This window comes from Homo sapiens, chromosome 9 (assembly GCF_000001405.40).
Source record: "Homo sapiens chromosome 9, GRCh38.p14 Primary Assembly".
Classification (NCBI taxonomy): domain Eukaryota; kingdom Metazoa; phylum Chordata; class Mammalia; order Primates; family Hominidae; genus Homo; species Homo sapiens.
This window is the reverse complement of record NC_000009.12, coordinates 111717987-111744404: the sequence shown is the minus strand read 5'-3', so window position 1 is coordinate 111744404 and position 26418 is coordinate 111717987. Positions and strand designations below refer to the sequence as shown.

Sequence of the window (26418 nt, the reverse complement as noted above, 5' to 3'; positions counted from 1 at the left end):
AATTTGTGCTATACAGAGTTCTATCATGAACTAAGAATTGTCCATATCAGATATGAGCCCTAAAAAGAGCATAGGACAAGTATGGAAACTACATACACTTTGTTTAAATACTTTTAGTTCTCTTGATAAGGTACAAGATATTTATTTGCAGGACATATACTGTTTTTGTTAGTGCCCTTTTACTCTTTTATTTAGTCCATACACCCTAATCCATCTGTTATGACAGACTGGCATTTTTAGAAACAGAAACTAGCAGAAATTAGTATGATCTTTAATTTCAGTTTGATTTTAGAAGTATTTAAACCATAATAAGCTCTTTTTAATCACAAGTTATATGTCTATTGTTATAACTCAAATATCTAATAAGAATTTATGAAACAAATCTTAACTAATGACTTACGATTTGGCAAAGTTAGAAAAAAAAGGCTTTCAAATTAGCTAATGGTTTTAGAGCCATTTGAAACAACTGAAAGAAGTTTTCCCCTCACTACTACATTTACCAGCAAGAGATAAATCACTTCCATTTGTTTGGCAACTGTAAAAGCTTAAAAATCCATATTTTAAAAATGAGTTTACAGTAGTCCCCCTTTATGCCGGGAGAATAAATTCCAAGACCTTAAATGGATGCCTGAAACTGCGAATGTTATTGAACCCTATATATACTGTTTTTTCTCATATATTCATACCTATGATAAAGTTTAATTTATAAATTAGCCATAGTAAGACATTAACAGCAATAACTATAGTAAAATAGTAAAATAGAACGACCATAACAAATACCATCCTCATTACTCTTGTGCTTTGGAGTCATTATTAAATACAGAAGGGGTTACTTGAACACAAGCACTGTGATTCTGCAACAGCTGATCTGATAACTGAGAATGCTACTAAGTGACTAATGGGCAGGTAGTGAGTACATATAGTGTGGATATGCTGGGCAAAGGGATGATTCACATCCTGGGCGAGATGGTGTAGGATGGCATGAAATTTCATCACACTGCTCGCAACAGTGCAATTTAAAACTTATGAATTGTTTATGGAATATTCTGTTTAATAGTTTGGACTGCAGTTGAACACAGATAAATGAAACCGAGTATAGTGAACTCATGGATAAGGGGGAACTACTGTATATCTCAACTGTAAAACTAAAAACAAGGAGAAAAGGTGTTAAAATTTTTTTGAAAAAAAGAAGGAAAAATAACAAAGAATGTTATTGTAGCTTTAACTTATTTTTATGGTCCCAATTATTTTTATTTCAGAGCACAACATTTTGGCTGAAAATAATACCCAGTTAACAATATTTTTAGTGCCTACCACATATAAGATTCTATGCTAGATTTTATGGGCTAAAAAAGAAAAGTCTGTATGGCATAAGATTTTATTAAGCTACTAACTGACTGCTGACTTGTGAATATATTTTTATGAACAATGTATCAGATTCAGACATGCCTTCAGAAAGCTCCGTTAAGAGTGAAAATGTGTGTCTATATTGGACATGGCCTGCTAAATATAACACGTTCCTTTCACTTTAAAATAGTTGCTTACAATCTGAGGTGTTGTCAAAGAAACCTTGGTAAGATTCAGGAATTGTCTAGATTCTCAAATTTTCTATCACATGACCAGATTTTTGGATTATGTGGGTAAACTGGATGCCTTAGACATAAAACCTAGCTTTCCACTGCCCTAGACTGTCAATTTAACTGGCAATACTTATAATTAGCATGCTCATATATGTTCCATATGAACAGAGAAACAGAATACAATCAGTTCTCACTCAGGGTAGCAGGGAGCTTGGGACACAGATTAAGGGGTTTATGAATTAATAGTCTTTCCCCTACGAAGGCTAGTAGCATCATAGCTACAGATGAGCTGTAATTTACACTGATTGACATGCTTATTTTCTCCCTTCTCCCCCCGAGTACCCCTAAACACACATACACAGACACACATCACTCACTCACAAACCCACCAAGATTGAAGGTCTTGAACTAAACTTTAGGACTCTGCCATCTCCAGAGAAGGACTTTTTCACAGTTCTGATCCTCAGCCAGTAGAGGATCCAGAATTTCTATATGGAATGGACTTGGGGACAGCAATTTTATAAAAATTTTTGTTGAGGTTGCTATGTGCATGGTAAGCATGGTAATTTTACTTAGATTGTATTTTTATTTTTGGTGGCGTATAAGGTTGACGCTAGCATAGTTTATGGAGGGAAGTGCTAAAACTCTCCCAAGTCAGCCCTCTCTGGCTCCAGGTTCCATTGAGGGAGGTAGAGGTGGGAGTAATTTACAGTCAAGTAGGAACAATTGAGTTTACAAATTACCAAACTTTCCCAAGGATGGAGGAAGTGAGTACTGTGTTTGATATTTGGTCTGTAGAACTCGACTGCAGTTTACACATTTATAAAGTCAATTTTTCACTTGATTTTGAGTGTAAAAGTACTTTAAAAATACTTTTTAAAAATAAAATTTTGGGCCAGGCGCGGTGGCTCACACCTGTAATCCCAGCACTTTGGGAGGCCAAGGTGGGCGGATTACTTGAGGTCAGGAGCTGGAGACCAGCCTGGCCCACATGGTGAAACCCCGCCTCTACTAAAAATACAAAAATTAGTCAGGCATGGTGGCAGACGCCTGTAATCCCAGCTGCTCGGGAGCCTGAGACAGGAAAATCGCTTGAATCTGGGGCGGAGGTTGCAGTGAGCCAAGATAGTGCCACTGTACCCCAGCCTGGGCGACAGAGCGAGACTCTGCCTCAAAAAAATAAAATAAAATAAAATTTTATTATACAAAAGACTCAATATTATTAATGTATTAAACTTTAACTCTTTTTTTCAGTAATTTGCTTACTGCTGAAGAATCAGCTAATGAATACTACATGATGTGGCAATTAGAAAGATGTAGAAGCCCTTTGAACCCATTTTTGCTTACAGGTAAAGATTAATTGCCTTTAAGTGATAAATAGAAAGTATAGGTAAAAAGGTACAACGAGTAGAAATGTGGGATATCCTTTTTCTTTGACCATTTCTTAACAGAATATATAACTTCGCCTAAAGCTAAAATACCAAGATATCTTCCATAAGGTTCATTATGCTAGGTGCAGAAGTATATGACAAGATCCGGATCTTGCTGATTTTCTGGGTAATTCCTATACATGGGAGAAGGAAAAGAAAAGAAATGAAATACAAGTAGTACATAAAACTGTCCCATACAAGTAATTTGTATTTCCAAAGTTGTGAGTTGTTTGTAAAAAAAAATAAAAATAAAAAAAAATCTCATCTAATGTTAAAAGTTTTAGTTGCCCAAGCTTTCCAAAAAAGACGTTTAAAAACATTTTAACAACGGCCGGAAATTAGCCGGGAGTGTCGGAGCGCACCTTTAGTCCCAGCTAGTCGGTAGGCTGAGGCCCAAGAATCACTTGAAAACCTGGGAGGCGGAGGTTGCAGTGAGCCGAGATGGCGCCATTGCGCTCCAGCCTACGTGAAGGAGCAAGTCTCTGTCTCAAACAAACGAACAAACAAACAAAACAAAAAAAATGGCCGGGCACCGTGGCTCACACTTGTAATCCCAGCACTTTGGGAGGCCGACCCGGGCGGATCATTTGAGGCCAGGAGTTCGAGACCAGTCTGGCCAACATGTTGAAACCCCCTCTCTACTAAAAATACAAAAATTAGCTGAGCATGGTGGTGCACGCCTGTAGTCCCAGCTACTCTGGAGGCTGAGGCAGGAGAATCGCTCGAACCAGGGAGGTGGAAGTTGCAAGAGCTGAGATCACCACTGCACTCCAGCCTGAGCAACATGGTGAGACTCCATCTCAAAAATAAATAAATAACATTTTAGCAAAACTTGTTTATAGTTTAACAAAATAATTTTGAGGTTATACATTTCACATGTATATTCAAAATTTATCTGAGTAAGTTAAACTCTTGTCTGTGTCTGAACTATTCCATCACGGAAATGGAACTTTGGATAAGGTATTGTTTTAAAAAATTTTTAAATGAATCACTGAGTTGCATTTGGAGGCCAAAAACAAAGTGAAAACAGGAATCCTGGGAAGCAAGTAAGCACCAAAGCTGGCTTTCACTCCAAGCTTTCTATTAAACCTTGGAGACTTTGAACTTCTGTTTTGAGGTCGACATGTAGTGTAGAGTCAAGAAATATCCTACGTGGAGGGTCTGATAGGGGACCCCTACATAAAACTGGGAATTCAACAAACTACCATCAAAATAAGAGCATACAAAAGTAAACCACCATATATAGAAGGGAACTCCGAATAAATTTGCATATTTCTACCTTGGAGCTGGAAGAGAGGAAAAGAAAAAAAATTTCTCTTAAGTACTGCTAACCAGAAGGCAGCCATCATGCCTGGTTGCAGTCTGAATTCAAACCACCTATATACTTTTAAAAATAGTGGTGATTTAATTTAAAGTGGTCCCAGGTTGACAGTGCCTCCCAAACACATAGAGACAAAAGTAAATCCTTTCTAGAGGAAAATAAATTTTTTTTCTGGAAGAATGTACTTCAACTCGTGCTTCAAAGACCTTCCACAAAGTTGAAAGAAACACATGCTAATAGACAACAATCACAAAATATATTGGCATGATCAGTGAGATACAGCAGAAACATTAGACATCAAAATCAGATCATATATTGAAATTATCAGTTACATAGTATAATATACTTTTAAAGCAAAAAAAGGGGGGAACAAGACGTCTTGTATTATTTCTTGCAACTGCATGTGAATCTACAATTATTTCTACCTGAAAAAAAGGAATGGACTGTTGATATACACAACACAGATGATCTCAAAATAATTATGCAGAATGACAGAAACCACAAAAAATTCATATGGTATAATTCCATTTATATAAAATTCTAGAAAATGTAGTTTATAGTGTCAGGAAGCAGAACAGTGGGACAGGGGTTGGGGGATGAGGAAGATTAGAAGGGAGGTATAAAGAGGCAGGAGGGATACAAAACTTCGGAGGGAATGGATATGTTCATTACCTTGATTGTGGTAATGGATTCATGAATGTATAAATATGTCAAAACTTATGAGACTTTTCACTCTAAATATGTGTAGTTTATTGCATGTCAGTTATACTTTAATAAAACTATTAAAAATTATACCTATTTTATAGAATTATTTAGGGATTAATTAAGAATAATGCATGTAAAGAAAGCACTTAGCATAGTGCCAGATGTTTTTTAGTAACTTGTAATTACTATTATTAATATTAGTATTTTTAAGTTTTAATTTCTTCTTAATATTACTGTCATTATAAAAGCACCATTCCAAAATTAGAGTTTCAAAATTTATAATCCTAATTTCAGGTTGATGTTTATAATGCAGATAATAATATTAGGTAGTTGTGCTACTTCAGTTCCTCCATATGTTATGATTTCTCCCGTTTAGGCTAGAAAGTAATGAGGCAGTAAGCGCTGTACCACAATATCTAAGATGATATAGTCATCATAAAATCTGAACAAATATTTCTTCTTGTTTAGGCTTATTATAATGAGTTAGAATTTCTAATTTAATAAAGCTTGTATTACTTCAAAATGTTAAACATTAATTTAATAATTGAAAATGGTCAAACAAAATAAGATTTCCTTCTACTAAATATCAGAATAATTTTAACTTTTTGATATTTTCAAAGAGTGAAATAAATCCTTTATGTGACTTCTACTGCTACAATAGCTTAAACTTTTACAAATATTAGCATCTTGAGACAAAAATACCAGCTATAACTTCAAGTTTCACTTATTTTCTAATGCATAAAAATGCATTTCATAAAGAAATTCCAGTGTGGTTCTGTTTATTGTGTTTTGTTTCTTTTGCTTTGTAGACTGTTTCTAACTATTTGTTTTTTATTTTTTTTTAAGTGCCAAGAATTCAAGAGCCCCACAGCCAATATTCAGTTACAGATTTGAAAAAGATATTTTCTGTTAAAGAAGAAAGCCTTGTGATTAATCTGGAAAAGGCAGAGTGGTGGAAACAAGCAGGACTAAATCTGAAAATGATGGAAACATTGGAACATCTGAATACATATTTATGTCATGATAATTTGTCTTCTAATGACACTAAAATTGAGATATTTTTGCCTACGAAAGTGCTTCAATTAGAATGTAAGTACATCACAGTAAATATTAGTTATGTAAACATTTTCAGAATGTGAAAATGTTAGATTCTGGATTTCCTCTAGGTAATTGGGAAAATCACTAGGTTCTAGCATTCCATATAGGCCCTGGCTCTGCCAGAATTTATGACTTTGGATTTCTCTAGGTCCCATTTTCTTGAAAAAATGATGAAGTTTGACTAGCTAACCCTAAAATCTTGTTATGTCCTAAAATTCTATAGTCTCAGTTTTTAAATTTCTAGCCATTTTCATTTAAAGTGACTTTGTTTCCTTTTATAAATGATTAAATTGCTAGCAGTTTCCGTTCACATTGGCCTAGACGCAAACCAGCATTTTGCAGTAACTGTTTTTTGACCTAACAGCTGAACATTAGCATTCAATAATATCACTCTTTAACAATAGAGGATCTTCGTTTGTTACTTAAAAGTATACTAATTCATTTTTTACTGTACAACTTAAGAAGGCAAAAATGTCTTTTGAGTATGTCTTGAGCTATTTGGGTTGCTATGTACAGCATTATATTAATAGTAAATTAAACATATTTAGCATGAATTATATATTTTGTGTGTGGGGGGGGGGGTTTGTTTTTATTGTTTGTTTGTTTGTTTTGAGACATAGTCTCACTCTGTTGCCCAGGCTGGAGCACAGTGGCATGATCTCGACCCACTGCAACCTCCACCTCCCGGGTTCAAGTGATTCTCCTGCCTCAGCCTCCCAGGTAGCTGGGATTACAGGTGCCCGCCACCATGCCCGCCACTATTTTTAGTAGAGATGGGGTTTCACCATGTTGGCCAGGCTGGTCTCGAACTCCTGACCTCAAGTGATCTGCCCGCCTCAGCCTCCCAAAATGCTGGGATTACAGGCATGAGCCACCGTGCCCAGCCAGATTTGGGAAAGTTTATAGTTTATTATAGGATAATGAACATATTTAGAAATAAATTTTAGAAATTACTGTCTATGTTGGGAGATTGGTCTAAGGAGATAAGGAATCTGAATAAGAATTGTTATCAGCAAGGAGTGTTTCAAACACAGAAGACAGAACGATTTTTTTAACATATACCCAGTAATGGGATTGCTGGGTCGAACGTAGTTCTGTTTTAAGTTCTTTGATAAATCTCCAAACAGTTTCCACAGTGGCTGAACTAATTTACATCCCCCACCCAGAGTGTATAAGTATTCTCTTTTCTCCACAGCCTTACCAGCCTCTATTGTTTTTCAACTTTTTAATAGTAGCCATTCTGAATGATATGAAATGGTACCTCATTGTAGCTTTGATTTGCATTTCTCTGATGATTGGTGATGTTGAGCACTTTTTTCATACATTGTAAGTCTTGTAAGTCTTCTTTTGAGAAGTGTCTGTTCATGTCTTTTGCCCATTTTTTAATGGGGTGGTTTTTTGCTTGTTCAATTGTTAAAATTCCTTGTAGAGTCTGGATATTAGATCTTAGTTGGATGCACAGTTTGTGATTATTTTCTCCCATTCTGTAGACTGTCTGTTTACTCTGTTGATAGTTTCTTTTGCTGTGCAGAAGCTCTTTAGTTTCATTAGGTCCCACTCGGCAATTTTTGTTTTTGTTGCGATTGTTTTTGAGGACTTAATCATAAATTCTTTCCCAAGACTGATGTCCAGAATGGTGTTTCCTAGGTTTTCCTCTATGATTCTTATAGTTTAAGGTCTCACATGTAAATATGTAATCCATCTTGAGTTAATTTTTATATATGGTGAAAGATAGCGATCCAGTTTTAGTCTTCTGTATATGGCTAGCCAGCTATCCCAGAACCATTTATTGAATAGGGAGTTCTTTCCCCCTTGCTTATTTTTGTTGGCTTTGTTGAAGATCTGATGGCTGTAGGTGTGCGACTTTAATTCTAGGTTCTCTCTTCTGTCCCATTAGTCCTTGTATCTCTTTTTGTACCAGTACCTTGGCATTTTGGTTACCCTAGCCCTATAGTATAGTTGGAATCAGGTAATGTGATACCTCTGGCTTTATTCTTTTTGCTTAGGATTGCTTTGTCTACTCAGGTTCTTTTTTGGTTTTATATGAACTTTGGAATAGTTTTTCCTAGGTCTGTGGAAAATGATGTTGATAGTTTGATAGGGATAGTGTTGAATCTGTACATTGCTTTGGGCAGTCTGGTCATTTTAACTATACTGATTCTTCCAATCCATGAGGATGTAATGTTTTTCCTTTTATTTGTGTCATCTATGATTTCTTTCAGCAGTGTTTTGTAGTTCTCCTTGTAGAGGTCTTTTATCTCATACATGCACTAATATGTTCATCACAGCACTATTCACAATAGTAAAGACATGAAATCAACCTAGGTGCCCATTAACGTGGATTGGATAAAGAAAATGTGGTACCAATGAGATACCATCTCACGCCAGTTAGAATGGCGATCATTAAAATGTCAGGAAACAACAGATGCTGCAGAGGATGTGGAAAAATAGAAATGCTTTTACACTGTTGGTAGGAGTGTAAACTAGTTCAACTGTTGTGGAAGACAGTGTGGCAATTCCTCAAAGATCTAGAACCAGAAATACCATTTGACCCAGCAATCCCATTACTGGGTATATACCCAAAGGATTATAAATCATTCTGCTATAAAGACACATGCACACGTATGTTCATTGCGGCACTATTCACAATAGCAAAGACTTGGAACCAACCCAAATGCCCATCAATGATAGACTGGATAAAGAAAATGTGGTACATAATACACCATGGAATACTATGCAGCCATAAAAAAGGATGAGTTTTATGTCCTTTGCAGAGACATGGATGAAGCTGGAAACCATCATTCTCAGCAAACTAACACAGGAACAGAAAATCAAACATCACATATTCTCACTCAAAAGTGAGAGTTGAACAATGAGAACACATGGACACAGGGAGGGGAACATCACACACCAGGGCCTGTTGTGGGGTTGGGGGCTAACGGAGGGATAGCATTAGGAGAAATACCTAACATAAATGAAGGGTTGATGGGTGCAGCAAACCACCATAACATGTATATACCTATGTAACAAACCTACACGTTCTGCACATGTGTCCCAGAACTTAAAGTATAAAAAAAAAATGTGGTACATACACACCATGGAATAGTACCCAACCATAAAGAAGAATGAAATCATGTCCTTTGCAGTGACATGGATGCAGCTGGAGGCCATGATCTTAAGTGAATTAACTCAGGAATAGAAAACCAAATACTGCATGTTCTAGTGGGAGCTAAACATTGGGTATTCATAGACATAAAGATGGCAACAATAGAAACTGGGGGCTACTAGAGGAGGGAAGTGGGGGAAGGGGTTGAAAAACTAACTATTGAGTACTATGCTCAATACCTGGGTGATGGGATCAGTCATAGCCCAAACCTCAGCATCATGCAATATACCCAGGTAACAAACCTGCCCATGTACTCCTAAATCTAAAATTAAAAGTTCAAATTATATTTTAATCACAAAAAAACTACAAATAGCAAATACCAAAATATATAACAGATGTATAAGTGCTCCTTGGGATAAATATATGATAGACAATTAACTGTCATCATATCCCTGTCTCTGTTTCCACTCATTTCTATAGTGTACTCCTGTGGCTCACTAGTAATATAACCACAGTGGTAACACAAATTCCAGGTTCAACGGTAACCTAAGAAAATCTGCTTTCTTACTTCTTGAATATTCCTTATAAAAAGAACAATAAGGGATGTAAAATAAATTTTTTAGAAAGACAGAAGACAAAGATATTTGGTTGGCTAGGAAAGAGAACAGATAAACAGACAATATCAAGCAAATACACACCAGTCCATCTTAGGCCTAGATGGTACCCACGGTGGAATAAGAATGTTAAATAAGATTAGGTCAGGTTAGTAGACAAAGAAAAGGGAGAAGATTTTATGAGGTCTTGAAATATCCATATAATGTATTAAATCTATAAAACTATGTAAAGTCTTTATTGTGATTTGTAACTAATTTGAGATTAAAATAAAACATATTCATATTTGATATTCTTGATATCCAATAAATTATTATGATAATTCCGAAGTTGGAAATGCTGTTGGAAAATGATAGCAATACGTTTGCTTGATGCAAGATTGCCACAAAACTTCAATTTGTAAAAAAATGAATGTTTAACAGTATAATTAAATATATAGCAGTATAATTCTGAAGTTTAAGTAGCAATAACTATATCTGGAACCCATGCCAAGCGGTCAGGGTAGGGGTGCTTAAAGAGAGAATAATAAAGGAAAATAATGAGAAAACTGAAATAATAAACAGTTTCTATTCACCTGCTGAACATACCAGATTACCACTAGAGAATATCTGAAAAGTGGCACTTGGATCCTATTCAGCCCACATATTATTGACTCATATGGTGTTTTAATTAGTTAACAACTTTTTTTTTTTTTTGAGACAGAGTCTTGCTCTGTTGCCCAGGTTGGCGTGATCTCAGCTCACTGCAACCTCTACCTCCTGGGTTCATGCAATTCTCCTGCCTCAGCCTCTCAAGTAGCTGGGACTACAGCCACGCGCCACCGTGCCTGGCTAATTTTTGTATTTTTAGTAGAGATGGGGTTTCGCCATGTTGGCCAAGCTGGTCTCAAACTGCTGACCTCAGGTGATCCGCCCGCCTTGGCATCCCAAAGTGCTGGGATTATAGGCATGAGCCACCGTGCCCAGCCAGTTACCAACATTTAAAATTTGGCAGATTTCACATATATAATCTGTATTTTGAACTTATTTTTTAAATTCCAAAAACTGGACTCAGATTCTGATATGGCAACAATTGGCTGGAGGTGTTAGCAGCTTACCACATTAGACAGACCATGCACTCTCCAGCTCGCTGTAGTTCCCAGGACTTACAAATTGAGTCCTGTTGTTACTTGACATCTGACCTTTTTGTCTTACATTTAGGTATAGTTAAGAGGAAAGTAAAATGTTTCTTATACCAATATCTCTAATAAAAGCAAAAAAAAAATTATAAACTACATTTTGGAAGGAAATAATACAAAGTTCATCTATACAAGCAAAGATTGTGATTTAAGCCATAGCCATACATTTTACTAATTTACATTATTTAGTTGGCCCTATAGGCATTTGTTTTTTTTCCAAATCAATTTTATGAAGTATAATTTACATAAAATGAACTGCACCTGTTTTATTTTTATTGCACTCACAGATATGGTTTATTAAGGGAAAGGACACATATTAGAATGAGCCAAAAAAAAGAGATGCTTATGATGGAATGTAGGAAGGCTCCAAATGTGAAGATTTCATTGTCCCCAGGATGCACTACTCTTTTGTCACTGATACATCATAATATACACAAATGTTGCCAATGCAGGAAGACTGCACCTATTTTAACTGTACAGTTTGATGAATTTTGACAAGTATATGCCTGTGAAACTACCACTACAATTAAGATGCAGAGTATTTCTATCATAAAAACGTTTCTTTATGCCCCTTTGCAGTCATTCTCCTTCCATCCCACCTCTCCTCCTCACTAACCTACCCCCCTGGTCCTTGACGACCACTGGTATACTTTCTGTCACTATGTATTATATGTTTCCCCTATCCTAGAATTTCACTTATGGAATGAAATAGTATAAGTTTGTTTGTGTCTGCCTTCTTCCACTGAGCATAATGTTTCTGAGATTCATTCATGATGTTGTGTATCACTAGTTCATTTATTTTTATTGTTAAAAAATTTTTCATTGTATGGATATACCACAGTTTGTTTATCAATTCCCCTGGGCTTTTCCCCCAGTTTTTTATTATTGTGAATAAAAGTTATAAATATTTTTGTGCAAGTCTTTTTGTGGAAACATGTTATTTCTCTCTTTAAATTTTTTTTATTTTTAAAAAATTAATTAGAGATGGGGTCTCAATCTCTTGGTCTCAAGCAATCCTCCCATCTGGTCCACCCAAAGTACTGGGATTACAGGTGTGAGCCACCATGCCAGGCCACACATTATCATTTCTCTTGAATGAATATCTAGGAGTCAAATTGCTGAGTCTTATGTGTATGTTTACTTTTATAAATTACAAAGTAATTTCATCATTGCACATTTTCACCAGCAATGTGTGAGAGATCCAGTTACCCCATATCCTTGCTAACACTTGGTATTGGCAGTGTTTTAAATTTTAATCATTCTAATGGGTGTGTTGTGGTTATTTCATTGTGGTTTTAATTCTATTTCCCTGCTGACTAATGATGTTGGGCATCTTATTACATGTTCATTGGCCATTTGTATATAATTTTTTTTTTAAAAATACAGGCTCATCTCATTTTATTGTACTTCACTTTATTGTGCTTCACAGATAATTGTGTCTTTTACAAATGGAAGTTTTGTGGCAATCTTGTATCAAGCAATTCTTTTGCAGCCATTTCCCAACAGCATTTCCAACTTTAGAATTATCATAATTTATTAGATATCAAAAATATAAAACATGAATGATATGTTTTATTTTAATCTCATTAGTTATATATCACAATAAAGACTTTACATAATTTTATAGATTTAATACATTATATGGATATTTGAAGAACATGTGCTCACTTTGTGTCTCTGTCACATTTTGGTAATTATCACAATAGTAAGTATTTTTTTCTTATTATTATATCTGTTATAGTTATCTGTGCTCAGTTACCTTGATTTTAATTTTGTAATTGTTTTGGGGTGCCATAGACCCTGCCCATACAAAAAAGTGAATTGAATTGATAAATGTGTGTGTTCTGACTGCTCCACTAACCAGCTGTTCCCTTATCTCTCTCCCTTTCCTTGGCCCACTCTATGTCTGTCGAGACACAACGGTACTAAAATTAGGCCAATTAATAACCCTACAGTGGCCTGTAAGTCTTCAAGTGAAAGGAGGAGTTGCACAACTCTCACTTTAAATCAAAGGCTAGAAATGATTAAATGAGAATGGTATGTTGAGAACTGACCTAGGCCAAAAGCTAGGTCTCTTGCTTTTGGCCAGTTGCCAAGTTGTGAATGCAAAGGAAAAATTCCTGAAGGAAATTAAAAGTGCTACTTTAGTGAACACACAAATGATAAGAAAGTTAAATAGTCTTATTGCTAATATGGAGAGGGTTTGAGTGGTCTAGATAGATCAAACCAGCCACAATATTCCCTTAAGCCAAAGCCCAGTACAATGCAAGGCTCTAACTCCTTTTGATTCTATGAAGGCTGAGAAAGGTAAGGAGCTACAGAAGTTTGAAGCTAACAGAGATTGGTTCATGAAGTTTAAGGAAAAAAGTCATCTCCGTAACATAAAAGTACAAGGTGAAGCAACAAGTGCAAATGTAGAAGCTGCAGCAAGTTATCCTGAAGATCTGGCCAATATTATTGATGAAGATGGCTACACTAAACAACAGATATTCAATGTAGATGAAACAGCGTTCTATTTGAAGAAAGTGTTATCTAGGACTTTTATAGCCAGTAGGAAGCAGTCAATGTCTGGCTTCAGAGCTTCAAAGGGCAGGCTGACACTCCTATTAGGGGCTAATGCAGCTGTTGACTGTTGAAGCCAAAGCTCATTTACCATTCTGAAAATCCTAAGGCCCTTAAGAATTATGATAAGTCTACACTTTCTGTGCTCTATAAATGGAACAACAAAGCCAGAATGATAGCACATCTGTTTACAGCATGGCTTACAATATTTTAAGGCCACTGTTGAGACCTACTACTCAGAAAAAAAGATTCCTTTCAAAATATTACTGCTCATTGACAGCATACCTGGTCATTCAAGAGCTCTGATGGAGATATACAAGAAGATTAATGTTGTTTTCATGTCTGCTAACACAACATCCATTCTGCAGCCCATGGATCAAGGAGTCATTTCTACTTTCTAGTGTTATTATTTAAGAAATACATTTCATAAGGCCAGAGCTGCCATAGATAGTGATTCCTCTGATGGATCTAGTCAAAGTCAATTGAAATACTTTTGAGAAAGGATTCACCATTCTAGATGCCATTAAGAACATTCCTTATTCTTGGGAGGAGGCCAAAATATCAACATTAGCAAGATAGAAAAAAGTTGATTTGAACCTTCATGGATGATTTTGAAGGGTTCAAGACTTTAGTGGTGCAAGTATGTAACTACAGATGTGGTAGAAATAGCAAGAAAACTAGAATTAGAAGTGGAGCCTGAAGGTGTGGTTGAATTGCTGCAATCTCATGCCAAAACTTGAACAAATGAGGAGTTGTTTCTTATGGATGGGCAAAGAAAATGGTTTCTTGAGATAGAATCTGTCCCTGGTGAAGATTCTGTGAACATTGTTGTAATGACAACAAAGGATTTGGAATATTCCATAAACATAGTTGATAAAGTAGTGGCAGGGTTGGAGAGGATTGACTCCAATTTTTTTTTTTTTTTGAGACCAAGTCTCACTCTCACCAGGCTGAAGTGCAGTAGCATGATCTTGGCTCACTGTACCCTCCGCCTCTCAGGTTCAAGCGATTCTCCTGCCTCAGCCTCCTGAGTAGCTGGGACTACAGGCATGCGCCACCATGCCCAGCTAATTTTTGTATTTTTAGTAGAGATGGGTTTCACCATGTTGGCCAGGATGGTCTCGATCTCTTGACCTCATGATCCGCCTGCCTCGGCCTTCCCAAAGTGCTGGGATTATAGGCATGAGCCACGCTCCTGACCTTGACTCCAATTTTGAAAGAAGTTCTACTCTGGGTAAATGCTGTCAAACAGCACATGCTACAGAAAAATCTTTCGTGAAAAGAAAAGTCAGTCAGTGTGGCAAACTTCATTGTTGTCTTAGTTTAAGAAATTTCCACAGCCACACCAACCTTTAGCAACCACCACTCTGACAGTCAGCAGCTGTCAACATTGAGACAAGACCCCCTAGCCGGGCACAGTGGCTTTCACCTGTAATTCCAGCACTTGGGAGGCCAATGTGGGAGGATTACTTGAGCCCAAGAGTTCAAGATCAGCCTGGGCAACATAGCAAAACTTTGTCTCTCCTAAAAATAAAAATAAAAATAAAAGCCTGGCATGGTGGTACGCACCTGTAGTCTCAGCTGGTGGGAGGACTGCTTGGGCCCAGGAGTTGGAGGTTGCAGTGAGCTATGATTGTGGCACTGCATTCCAGCCTGGGCTACAGAGGAGGACCATGTCTCAAAAAGAAAAAAAAAGAAAAAAGAACCCCCCACCTTTGCAAAAAGTTTATGACTTAGTAAAGGCTCAGATGATCATTAGCATTTTTTGGCAATAAAGTATTTTAAAATTAAAGTATGTACTTGTTTGTTTAGACATAATGCTATTGTACACAATACACTGCAGTATAGCATAAACATAACTTTTACATTTGTACTGGGAAATCAAAACATTTGTGTGACTCACCTTAACATATTTACTTTATTGTGATGGTCGAGAACTGAACCCACAATATCTCTGAGGTATTCCTGTAACAGCTTTATCAAGATACATTTCACATACCATACAATTGACTCATTTAAAGTAAACCATTCCATGGTTTTTAATATAAGCCCAGAGTTGTGCAATCATCACCACAAACCATTTTAGAAAACTTGTACCATCCCCAAAAGAAATCCTGTACCCATTAGTGGTCACTCCCCATTTTACTCAGCTCTGGAACCACTGTTCTTTCTCTATAGATTTGCCTTTTCTGGACATTTTATATAAATGGAATCATACAATATGTGGCCTTTTGTGACACTTCTTTCACTTAGCATGTTTTCAAGATTCGTCTATTTTGTAGAATATGCATATCTTATGTGAACTATTGTTCAAGTCTTTTGCCAAATTTTTAATTGGGTTCCTTTTCAAATATAGAGTTATAAGGAGTTCTTTATATATTTTGGATACAGTCCTTTGTCAGTTATATGTATTGCAAGTATTTTTTTCCATTGTGGCTTTCCTGGTAGGTAAGTGTTTGACCCATGGAGTAACTGTTACCTGCAAGGGTATGATTCATAAGCCTATGAGCAAAAGGGCTTTACTGGAATGTCTTCTTTGCTTGGTAAACTAGCTCCTATAGTAAGAAGAAGGGTGCTAAATTTTGATCCTTTTTAAAAATTTATTTTATTCAGACCAAAAATTGATTTTCAAAGCAGTAAACAAAGTGCTCATAAAGATCAAATTACATTAATAAGAAACCACAACTAAAAGTTATTCAAATACCTAATAGAACACTCGTTTAGGTGTGGAAGTTACTTGTGTGTTGTTATTTTCTGTTTTCAGCATGTCTAGAACATAAAAGTCATTCTTCACCTATTGCACTTATTGATGAAAAATCTACAAATGCTCATTTATCACTTCCACAAAAGAGTCCATCTCTGGCAAAAGAAGTACCAGATCTATGTTTTTCTGATGACTATTTCTCTGATAAAGGAGCAGCAAAAGAAGAAAAACCAAAGAATGACCAAGAACCAGTAAACAGAATAATCCAAAAGAAAGAAAATAACGATCACTTTGAACTTGACTGCACAGGACCATCTATTAAATCACCTTCCTCTTCAATAATTAAAAAAGCATCTTTTGAACATGGCAAAAAACAAGAGAATGATTTGGACCTTTTGAGCGACTTTATTATGCTGCGAAATAAATATAAGACTTGCACCTCAAAGACTGAAGTCACAAACAGTGATGAAAAACATGGTAAGTAATTTAATAATATTTTGCCGTAGATATGGTAGGCTCAAGGACTAAGTACATAATTTATTATAGAAGGCAAGGAGATAAAGTTCTTCTAGATAAAATTATGTTATTTTTTGTAGTCAAGGAAAATGTCATTGATTCTTGATAACTTCTTGTTTACAGATAGATATGGATATATAGGCATGATTTAGATACAGATACATATGTTTCAAAAAGTCTAAAAATGCATTTGAATTTATAACAAAAGCCACTATTTGTAAAACTTGCTTTCTACAACATGGCCTTACAAATTCATAGTATCTCTAACTTTTGTTGGTCAATTCTGCATTCTTTTTTCTCTTTTAGCTGTCAGTCCTGTCTCAGTATTTTAAATTATATTTTTATGTGTACTTGAAAGAAAACTTTCTGTCTACTTAATTGTTTCTTTCTAACATTACCTAACAGTTTCTGTTTGAGTTGTAACTGTCTTATATTCACTGCTTACAGCCACATCAAAGGTAATATAATGTGTCATATCATTTTACTTCTCATAAAAATAAAATAGGCATTCCAGAATAAGTTTGACATAGGTTACCCTGATGAAATAAATACAACAATATTTTTTTTTATTGGCTGCTATTGTTTATTCCTAAAATCCAGTACACATTGATGCAACCTAATGACTAGGGATATTGGAAACTTTTGATATTTATATATTGTTACATTCAGAAACACCAGAAATATTTTCTAATGATCAATTTGTTTGATAAATCCTATTCTTTCTTTCTTCATAAGGTTAATAATATTATCATAAATACAGGTATCTTTATGCTTTATAAAGCACTTTTACATCTATTGTCATTTTTGATCTGTTTAGAAACATTGTTGAGGAATCAAAGTAGGTAGTATTACCGCATTTCACAGTTAAAGAATACAAAAATATTTATGTGACTTAGAGACAGTTAGGTCTTACTGTCTCATATACTATTAATAGACACAAGATCTTCAGTTCTTAATGTCATGATGGGTATATTTATTTTTCCAAAAGATGTGACAGCCTTTTATAAATCTGCTTAAAGTAATATTACTGGGGCTGGGCATGGTGGCTCACACCTCTAATCCCAGAACTTTGGAAGGCCGAGGCAGGAGGATTGTTTGAGGCCAAGAGTTTGAGACCAGCCTGAGCAACATAATGAGACCGCATCTCTAAAATTAGCCAAGTGTGGTGGCACACACATGTGATCTCAGCTACTCAGGAGGCTGAGGTGGGCAGATGCCTTAGCCCAGGAGTTTGAGGTTATGGTGAGCTGTCATTTTTTTAAAAAGTAATATTACTGTGTCAATCAGTGCATTTCTCATGGTAAAAATGCAGAATAATATTTAAAGATTTCAGAATTTTGTGATCTTTTCTATTTCTACATATTCAACTTAAAGTTACTTTTTATGTAATAGTTTGGCCACCTTATAACTTACCTTACCAGATTCTGTATGTAACTGAGCTTTTTCTAACCAATATTTGGACCATAATTCAAGCATCGCTTCTGCATAAAAATAAGCAAAATATAAATAATTATTTTATAAATGTGATACAAAAATAAGAATTTTTCAAAGATTTGTTATTCTCAGATTTCTTCATGTTTTCTGATTCTATTTATATTTGGTACAAAAAAGGAATCCACCCCAAAATTAACACTGACATCTTCTGGTTGCCATAGTGGTGATAATGGCTTATGATAGGGTATATTATCAACAGAAAGTGAGGGAAAGCAGCAAGAAATGAGGAAATGTAAAAAAGAATAAAAATTGAAAAGATCACAAAATTCTGAAATCTTTAAATATTATTTTATCTTTTCTTATTTAAAAAATTAGCCATTCATTTACTAAACAATTAAAAGAACATTAATGTTATGAGGGAATGCTTCTGTACTCCTGATGTTTCCTCAATTAAGTGTTAAGTTCCTGGCCTCTTTGCCTTTTTATACATCTCTCCAGAGGGGATGGAAAGAATGATCTGAATTGTAAGTCAAAATAATAAATTGGACATAAGCTGTGGGAATGGTTGCCCAAGAAGAACAGGAATTCTCCTTGGTTTTTCTATGTCATGACTCTTTTCTGGGCAGTGCCCCTGACCTCCCCCGCCCTCCCTGGACCCAGTGGGGTATCCTATCCCAGTCCAGCATACCCTAGGACTGGGTGGGTAACTCTGTCTAATTCTGGTGTTTAGTTAGCAAGCTCATTTGACTCTCAAACTAAATTCTATTCCCCAACTTAGCCTTTAATAGATCATACCAATGCACTCCAGCCTGGGTGACAGAGGGAGACCCTGCCTTAATATTTTGGTGTATATTTTACTTTTTGTCTTATTTTACACTTAACTCAGAGGCAAGAAATACTATAAATTCTTAGACCCCCTCAAAAATTTTAATAATTAATATTATTTGATCATATCTATTCTAATTAGTTATGGTTAATTGAAAGTATTACTTGAAAATAGCATTTTAATCTAGTTTAGAATATAGTCCATTATTATATTTTTAACCATGTATGTAAAGATGGTAATGTGTTTCTGGAATTATTTTGTAATCATATTACTGATGGATAATACTACTATATGGTTAAAATAACTAGATTTTTATGTATATCTGTGTTTGTGTGTAAATCCTCTATAATACTTAGGAAAGAAGAAATCCTCTGTAATACCTAGGACAGAAAAAAAAACTAACATTTATTAGATACTTTGTGCCTGGCACTAAATTACATATTAGAGATAAATATGATGCTGTTGCTGACCTTGAGAAGCTCACAGTATAATAAAGTAGGTCAGATATGCAGATAGATCATTTCAATTCAATGTGGCAAGTACCAGTAAAGAAGTCTTCACAGAATGCTGAAGAAACAAAAGGAGGAGCCCTTTGCTGGCCTGGAAGTAGGGTGGGCAGTTATATATGACTTTTTTTAGAAGATGCCTGAGACCTGCAGGGTGCAGCAGTAAGACTAGGCCCAGGTCAGGCATGGTAGCTCATGCCTGTAATCCCAGCACTTTGGGTAGGCAGATCCCTTGAGCCCAGGAGTTTGAGACCAGCCTGGACAACACAGGGAGACCCTATCTCTACCAAAATAATAATAATAATAAATTTAAAAAATAAATTAGCCCAGGATGGTGGTGCATGCCTGTGCTCCCAGCTACTTGGGAGGCTGAGGTGGGAGGATTGCTTGAGCCCAAGAGGTCAAGGCTGCAGTGAGCCCTGATCATACCAATGCATTCCAGCCTGGGTGACAGAGGGAGACACTGTCTTAAAAAAAAGAAAAGAAAAAGAATTGCCTGGTTAAAAAAAGATGGAAATAGGGAAGGTTTGGGACAGAGGAGAGGGTTAGTAGTAGAAGAAAGGGTATGTGGAAAGTCACAGAGAAATTAAGTAGAACGGTACATACTTTCTGTGTCAGAAGCTGTACTTGGTGTTTAAAGCAGATATATTTATCCATATTTTACATATGAGGAAACTGAGTCAGAACTGAGTTCAAAATACTGATCTGATACCAAAGGTTTTTCCATTTTTACCATTCATCTTCCTACCTAGCAGTGTTAGTTCCATTGATCTGAATAGTTGTTCACTTTAATACTGATGTGTTTCAATGAAGAAATTTAACAACTGTGATCATATTTTAGAAAAAAAATTAAGGTAAAACAACATTAAGTTTCTCTTGAACAACAAAAATTTATATTTTTTATTGGAATTTCAAGATAAAGAAGCATGTTCTTTGACACTTCAAGAAGAAAGTCCTATTGTTCATATTAATAAAACCCTGGAGGAAATAAATCAGGAAAGGGGAACAGATAGTGTCATTGAAATTCAAGCGTCAGGTATGTTATATGCTTTTAAAATGCATTTCAGATTTGCTTAGTTTGAAAGTCCTTTCCTAGATAGCTAGGACATACCTCATTTTCCATGTCATTTTCTTCACTTGTTTCAGATATTTCTTCATTCCACTCCTACTTTCAAGTTATATCCCAATCTGGAATGCCCTGTTCACTACCCCTGCCTCTCCCCATTGCCCTACCCAAGCGACTCAGTGTTATTTCTTCTTTCATTTAAACTGCTGCTGCTTCCCTATATCAATCTGAGAACAACTGTACCTCCTCGGACTCTTCTGCCCAGTCTGGAAAATGAACTGCTAATCATGCTCTCTCTGTTCTCTTACCTGCTATCAGAGTGATGTAAATAAGTTTCTATTGATTCCTATATTGATTTTTTTGTTATGCTATAAAGAAGAGTATTCTTTGACTCCTAAAGAACAACCTGCTTAAGAACATCAGATTCATTATTAAAATCAGTAAGGAAATATGACCCAGGTTCTCAAGTATCTTTTCATTCTTTTGGTCTCTAGATGATTATGCAAATCTTTAAATAATGTTATTCTAGTGATAACTGGAAAAAATTTTTCATTGTTTGGCTTAAGATCATATGCTAACAGTGGAGAATGGCAAAGAAAAAAATGCAGTTCATGTTATATGGGTCTTTATATTTGCCATGTCAAGTTAATTATGGAATAAATCCTCTCTAATAAATAATATAGGCCAGGCGCGGTGGCTCACACCTGTAATTCCAGCACTTTGGGAGGCCGAGGTGGGCGGATCATGAGGTCAAGAGATCGAGACCATCCTGGACAAGATGATGAAACAAAAATTAGCTGGGCGTGGTGGTGCACGCCTATAGTCCCAGCTACTCAGGAGGCTGAGGCAGGAGAATAGCTTGAATCCGGGAGACGGAGGTTGCAGTGAGCCGAGATGGCGCCACTACACTCCAGCCTGGCAACAGAGCAAGACTCTGTCTCAATGAATAAATAAATAAATAATATAGCCATAAAATTATATAATTCCATGTTTGTTTTTATTAGTTTATTTAGAATAAATATCTTAAAATAAGTTTTTATACAATCTCATTATTTTTAACTCAGAAAATAATTCAGATAGAAGTTCGGATCTCCACGAAATAACATTTAATTGGTTCATCAAAAAGAGCATACCATCTTTATTAAAACACTGCCATTAATGCTTTTATTTTTGCAGATAGCCAGTGCCAAGCATTTTGCCTCCTCGAAGCAGCAGCTTCTCCTATCTTAAAAAACCTTGTATCCTTGTGTACCCTCCCTACTGCTAATTGGAAATTTGCCACTGTTATTTTTGACCAAACAAGGTTTCTCTTAAAGGAACAAGAAAAAGTAGTAAGTGATGCTGTTCGCCAAGGTGAGTACAAATAAAAGTCACGTTATTTAAAAAGATATGCTTAGAAATTATTGTATCAAATTAGTAAAAATTGGGTATAGAAGATTCAGAAATTAGCCATAGATGGTGGCATGACTGTAATTCAGCTTGTGATACCCAGCCAAACCAATACTGGAGGATCAGCTAAGTAGAGAAAAAGGTAAGAAATATCACCTGGCATTACTTCTCAGTGAAGCTCCTAATTGACATATATTACTTGACAGATTCCTATTGCAGAAATTAAATTAACTTTATTATTGTCAGCATATGAACCACTCAGTCTCCTCCCAAAAAAGGAGGTCAAAAACTAGATTAATTAAAGTCAATCCTAGACTTTTTATTTCTGCCAAGATGGAGTAACAGGGACTAGATTTACCCTCCTACCAGAAATAACAACAAAAAAGACAAAGATAAAATACATTAAACCAGTTTTTAAGACCCTGGACATCAGGCAATGAAGAACAGTGGTTCCTGAGAGAGAGGAAATGAGTGAAATGAGCCCTACCATTACCCTAGCTAACTGCCTTGAAAGAATTGGCAGGCTGTGGTGTAGGGAGAGTTACCTGAGGCAGAGCCTGGTAGACAATTTAAGTTGAGGAAACAGGAGGTAAGAGTCCAGGGAGACCAAGACAGATAAGAGTTCAAAATAGAATGTTAGAGAGCAGAGAGCTTCGCACAGAGAGTATAGAATTGTGCAGAGCCTCTCCCTCGAGTATTCAGCAGATGATTGATCAAAGAATATATGTGAGGTGGCCAGGTGCAGTGACTCATGCCTGTAATCCCAGCACTTTGGGAGGCCAAGGCGGGTGGATCATCTGAGGTCAGGAGTTCGAGACCAGCCTAGCCAACATGGTGAAACCCCATCTCTACTAAAAATGCAATAATTAGCCTGGTGTGGTGGCGGGCACCTGTAATCCTGGCTATTTGGGAGGCTGAGGCAGGAGAATCGCTTGAACCTGGGAGGCAGAGGTTGCAGTGAGCTGAGATCACACCACTGCATTCCAGCCTGGGTAACAGAGTGAGACTTCGTCTCAAAACAAAAACAAAAACAAACAAACAAAGAATATATGTGAGGAAACTACCTGGAGTTGGAGAAACAAACCATCTGAAAGGACTAGAGGGACTACTATGCTGCATTCACACAGGGCAGGAATAGTGGCTGTTCCCACCAGCTAGACTAGAAAAACTCGTAATTCATAGAGGATTAAGGAGAATACTCAGAAAAATCTTGCCTCAGTAGTGGGGGATAATTATCCCTAGACTTAGCACTGCTGTGAACCTGCCTAACAAATCACAAAGCAATACCCCAAGGATCAAACTATCTCCAAGGAACTTAGTTGCATCCCATCATAAAGCACAAGAGGATTGATATGAATACAAGAATACCCAACAAGGTAACAGTCACAATGTCTGGCATCCAATAAGATCATGAAGTATACAAAGAGGCAGGAGAGTACAATCCATAATGAGAATAATAAATCAAAACAAACCCAGAATCAACAAAGATATTAGAATGACCAGAAAAGGACGCTGACACTTCTTATTACTGTTTTCTGTATGTTTGAAAAGTTAGAGACATTTAAAAAGACCTAGATCAAACTTCTAGAGACTAAACTGCAATGCATGAGATGAAAAATATAGTGGATGCAATTAATGGCAGATTAAATATTGCAGAAGAAAAAGTTAACTTGAAAGCACAGTAATAGAAACAATCACTCTGCAAAAACTGTAAAGCATGAAAGAATGAAAAAGAAATAAAAGAAGGCATCAGTAGGCTGTGGAACAACTTAAAGTAGCCTAACATACTGTAATTAGCATTCTCAAAAGAGAGGAGAAAAGAGAGTAAATGGAAAAAATATTTGAAGAAATAATGACAAATCTTTCTAAACTTAATGAAAACTACAAACCCACAGATGCAAAAATCTCAATGAACACTTAGTACAAGAGACACAAAGAAGGTCCACATAATCAAATTACTCAAAGCCAATAATAAAAAGAGAACTGTAGGAGGAGCCAGAGGAACAAAAAGACATGCCACATGCAGGAAACAAAGATAAGGGTGACATGAGATTTTTTGACATAAATAATATAAATGCAAAGACAATGAGTAACATTTTGAAAATGCTGAAAGCAAAACACATCAACCTAGTTTTCTATATTAGACAAAATGAGGACTTCTCTTAGAGCTCTTTCTGTCCACATGGTGGTAATCACTTCTGGGCCTTGGGCTGTTTTAGTCTAAGCCAGTAAATACAAGAAGCGGAAAAAATAGGAAACTCACCACTTGTTTGGTGGCATTTTGAAATCTGGTCTCCTTCCCCAGTCCACTTGCTACCATTTACCTTTTAGAGTTTTCAGATAGCTGTTTCATGTATTCTGTTTTGTGTTTATAGTTGTATTCAGTGGAAGAGACAGGGTGGAGTGTACTTACTCCATCTTACCTGGAATCTACTTAATTTATTTTTAAAGTCTGTTTTCTAAATTCATTAAACTTAGATGTCCTATATATTTTTTAAAGGTTAACTCTCTTTTACAAATGAAAAACAAGTTGAATCTCATCTTCTTCCATGTAGAGTGCCCAGTCTTTGAGGGGAGCAACATTTTAGTCACCAAAACCGCGAGGTCACAGTAGTAGTACTGAGATAGAATACCTGATCTGAGAGGAAGGTGTTAATCCATAGTTTACTACTTGAAATACCTGAGCCACAGAAAGGCATCAAGATCAACACTTTGGGGAGCTGGCATTCTGGTAATGATTATACTGGATAGAAAAGAACAATTGTCAGCAAACTGGCCTTTATGAAAGAAGACAAGACTTATATAAAATAAAAACTCATGTCTTCTGGATATAGTTTCAGTCCTGTAATTCTCAGGTTTTAAATTAGCTGAATATGGGTTGAGCTTCTAAAGGTTTTGAACATCATTGAGCAGAATGATGATTATTATAAAATATACAGCATAACTATGTATGAAGTATAATAGAGGACAAAAAAGGGACATGGTTTTGGGTATCCAGTTGGAACAATATTGCATTAATCCCGAGCAAGTGAATAGTTGTTATACTTAATATTCTTTCATTGGCCCCAGAGTTGAGATAAAACTAAGCCTACAAGTAACAATTAAGTAAACCTAGATTAAAAGAAGTCAGACCATTTCCCACACTAGTTTCCTAGTCTGTACTCCATTTTCCAAGCATTTTTACATTTCCAGTTCCCCAAATATGTTTTCTCTGCCCTATTCTCATCTCTTGCAGGTCATGATTGACTTGTTCCCACAAGTCCTTCTAGGGGCTGAATATACTACCCATAATTGGCTTTCCCTCTTAATTCCCTACTACATATTTGCCTTGATCTTCATTGAATAGATCATCAATTTGCAAACTTTTTAGCAGAATTCTTTGTTCAAATAAATTTCATGAGATCTCAATATATGAAAAAGAAAAGTAGAGCTTCTCTGGTTAAATTGGGGCAGGGGGTCTAGAATCCCATCTTCTTGGTCTCACTTTTATATGCAGAAAAATCCAGTCTATCGTCCAAAAAAGCTCTGGAACTAAATGGAACACAATTAGGCAATAAGGCTGTCCCTGTGAGTTTATCTCTTGTTTGAGTTATACCTTTGAATAAATATTCCTAGGTGTCTACCTCCATTTCAAGGTATTTCTTCATGTTATGATCCTCTACTTTTATCTTAATCAGTTGGCAAGTTATGAATCTATTTTTATTCTTGTTTCATAACTGGGAAGCGTTGACTCTTTTTCCCAATAGCAGTAGAAATAGCTGAATATTCTTTGGAAGCAACAAGGGCATGAATTCTCAGGTTAGCTGAGTTTAAATGACAGCTCTACCATTTACTCACTCACTGACCTTGGACAGTTACTTAACTTCATTAATACTATTTCCTCATTCATAAAATTTGGATCATAATAAACTTGTCTGATGGGATTGTTGTTATAGATTCAATGAAATAGCCAGCTTATATACAGCCTGGCATATAGTAAGCACTCAATAATAAATGTTAGCTCCCATTATTAGGCAGATTCTGATACATATTCTAAAACTGTAATGTATAGTCTATGTTTTAAAATACATTTTTGCTTACTTAGGTACAATTGATGAAAGAGAAATGACTTTCAAGCATGCCGCTCTCTTACATCTTCTGGTAACAATTAGAGATGTCCTTTTAACATGCAGCTTGGACACAGCATTGGGTTGGTGGGGAATATTTTATTTCCTCTTTTCTTCCTATTAAATATTTCATCTGAAATAACTTACTTTTCTGAAAAAGATACACCTTATAAGAAATGATGTAGCCTTCTTTTCTATTATACTAAGCATTACATACATTTTGACATAATTCTAATGAAATATATACATTTTATTCTGCTTGTATTCATTAAAAGAAATT

At 35.9% G+C, this 26418-nt stretch overlaps 1 protein-coding gene across 16 annotated transcripts in view; it reads left to right on the top strand.

Moving 5' to 3' along the window:
- The window catches only part of SHOC1 (shortage in chiasmata 1), a 108767-nt gene that overhangs the window by 50533 nt on the left and 31816 nt on the right, over nucleotides 1–26418 (top strand). For 13 of the 16 annotated variants that reach the window (NR_109816.2, XM_017014340.2, NM_001378211.1 and 10 more), the window contains 6 exons: nucleotides 2835–2929; nucleotides 5883–6125; nucleotides 16356–16772; nucleotides 20494–20613; nucleotides 21820–21996; nucleotides 26117–26221. Coding sequence is in view for 15 of the 16 variants with exons in the window: in XM_017014340.2 (XP_016869829.1) it covers nucleotides 2835–2929; nucleotides 5883–6125; nucleotides 16356–16772; nucleotides 20494–20613; nucleotides 21820–21996; nucleotides 26117–26221 (1157 nt within the window). In the remaining variant the exon portion in view is untranslated. The remainder of the gene's footprint in view (nucleotides 1–2834; nucleotides 2930–5882; nucleotides 6126–16355; nucleotides 16773–20493; nucleotides 20614–21819; nucleotides 21997–26116; nucleotides 26222–26418) is intronic. The other 3 variants (XM_006716975.3, NM_001378212.1, XM_047422868.1) reach the window with 1 other exon arrangement.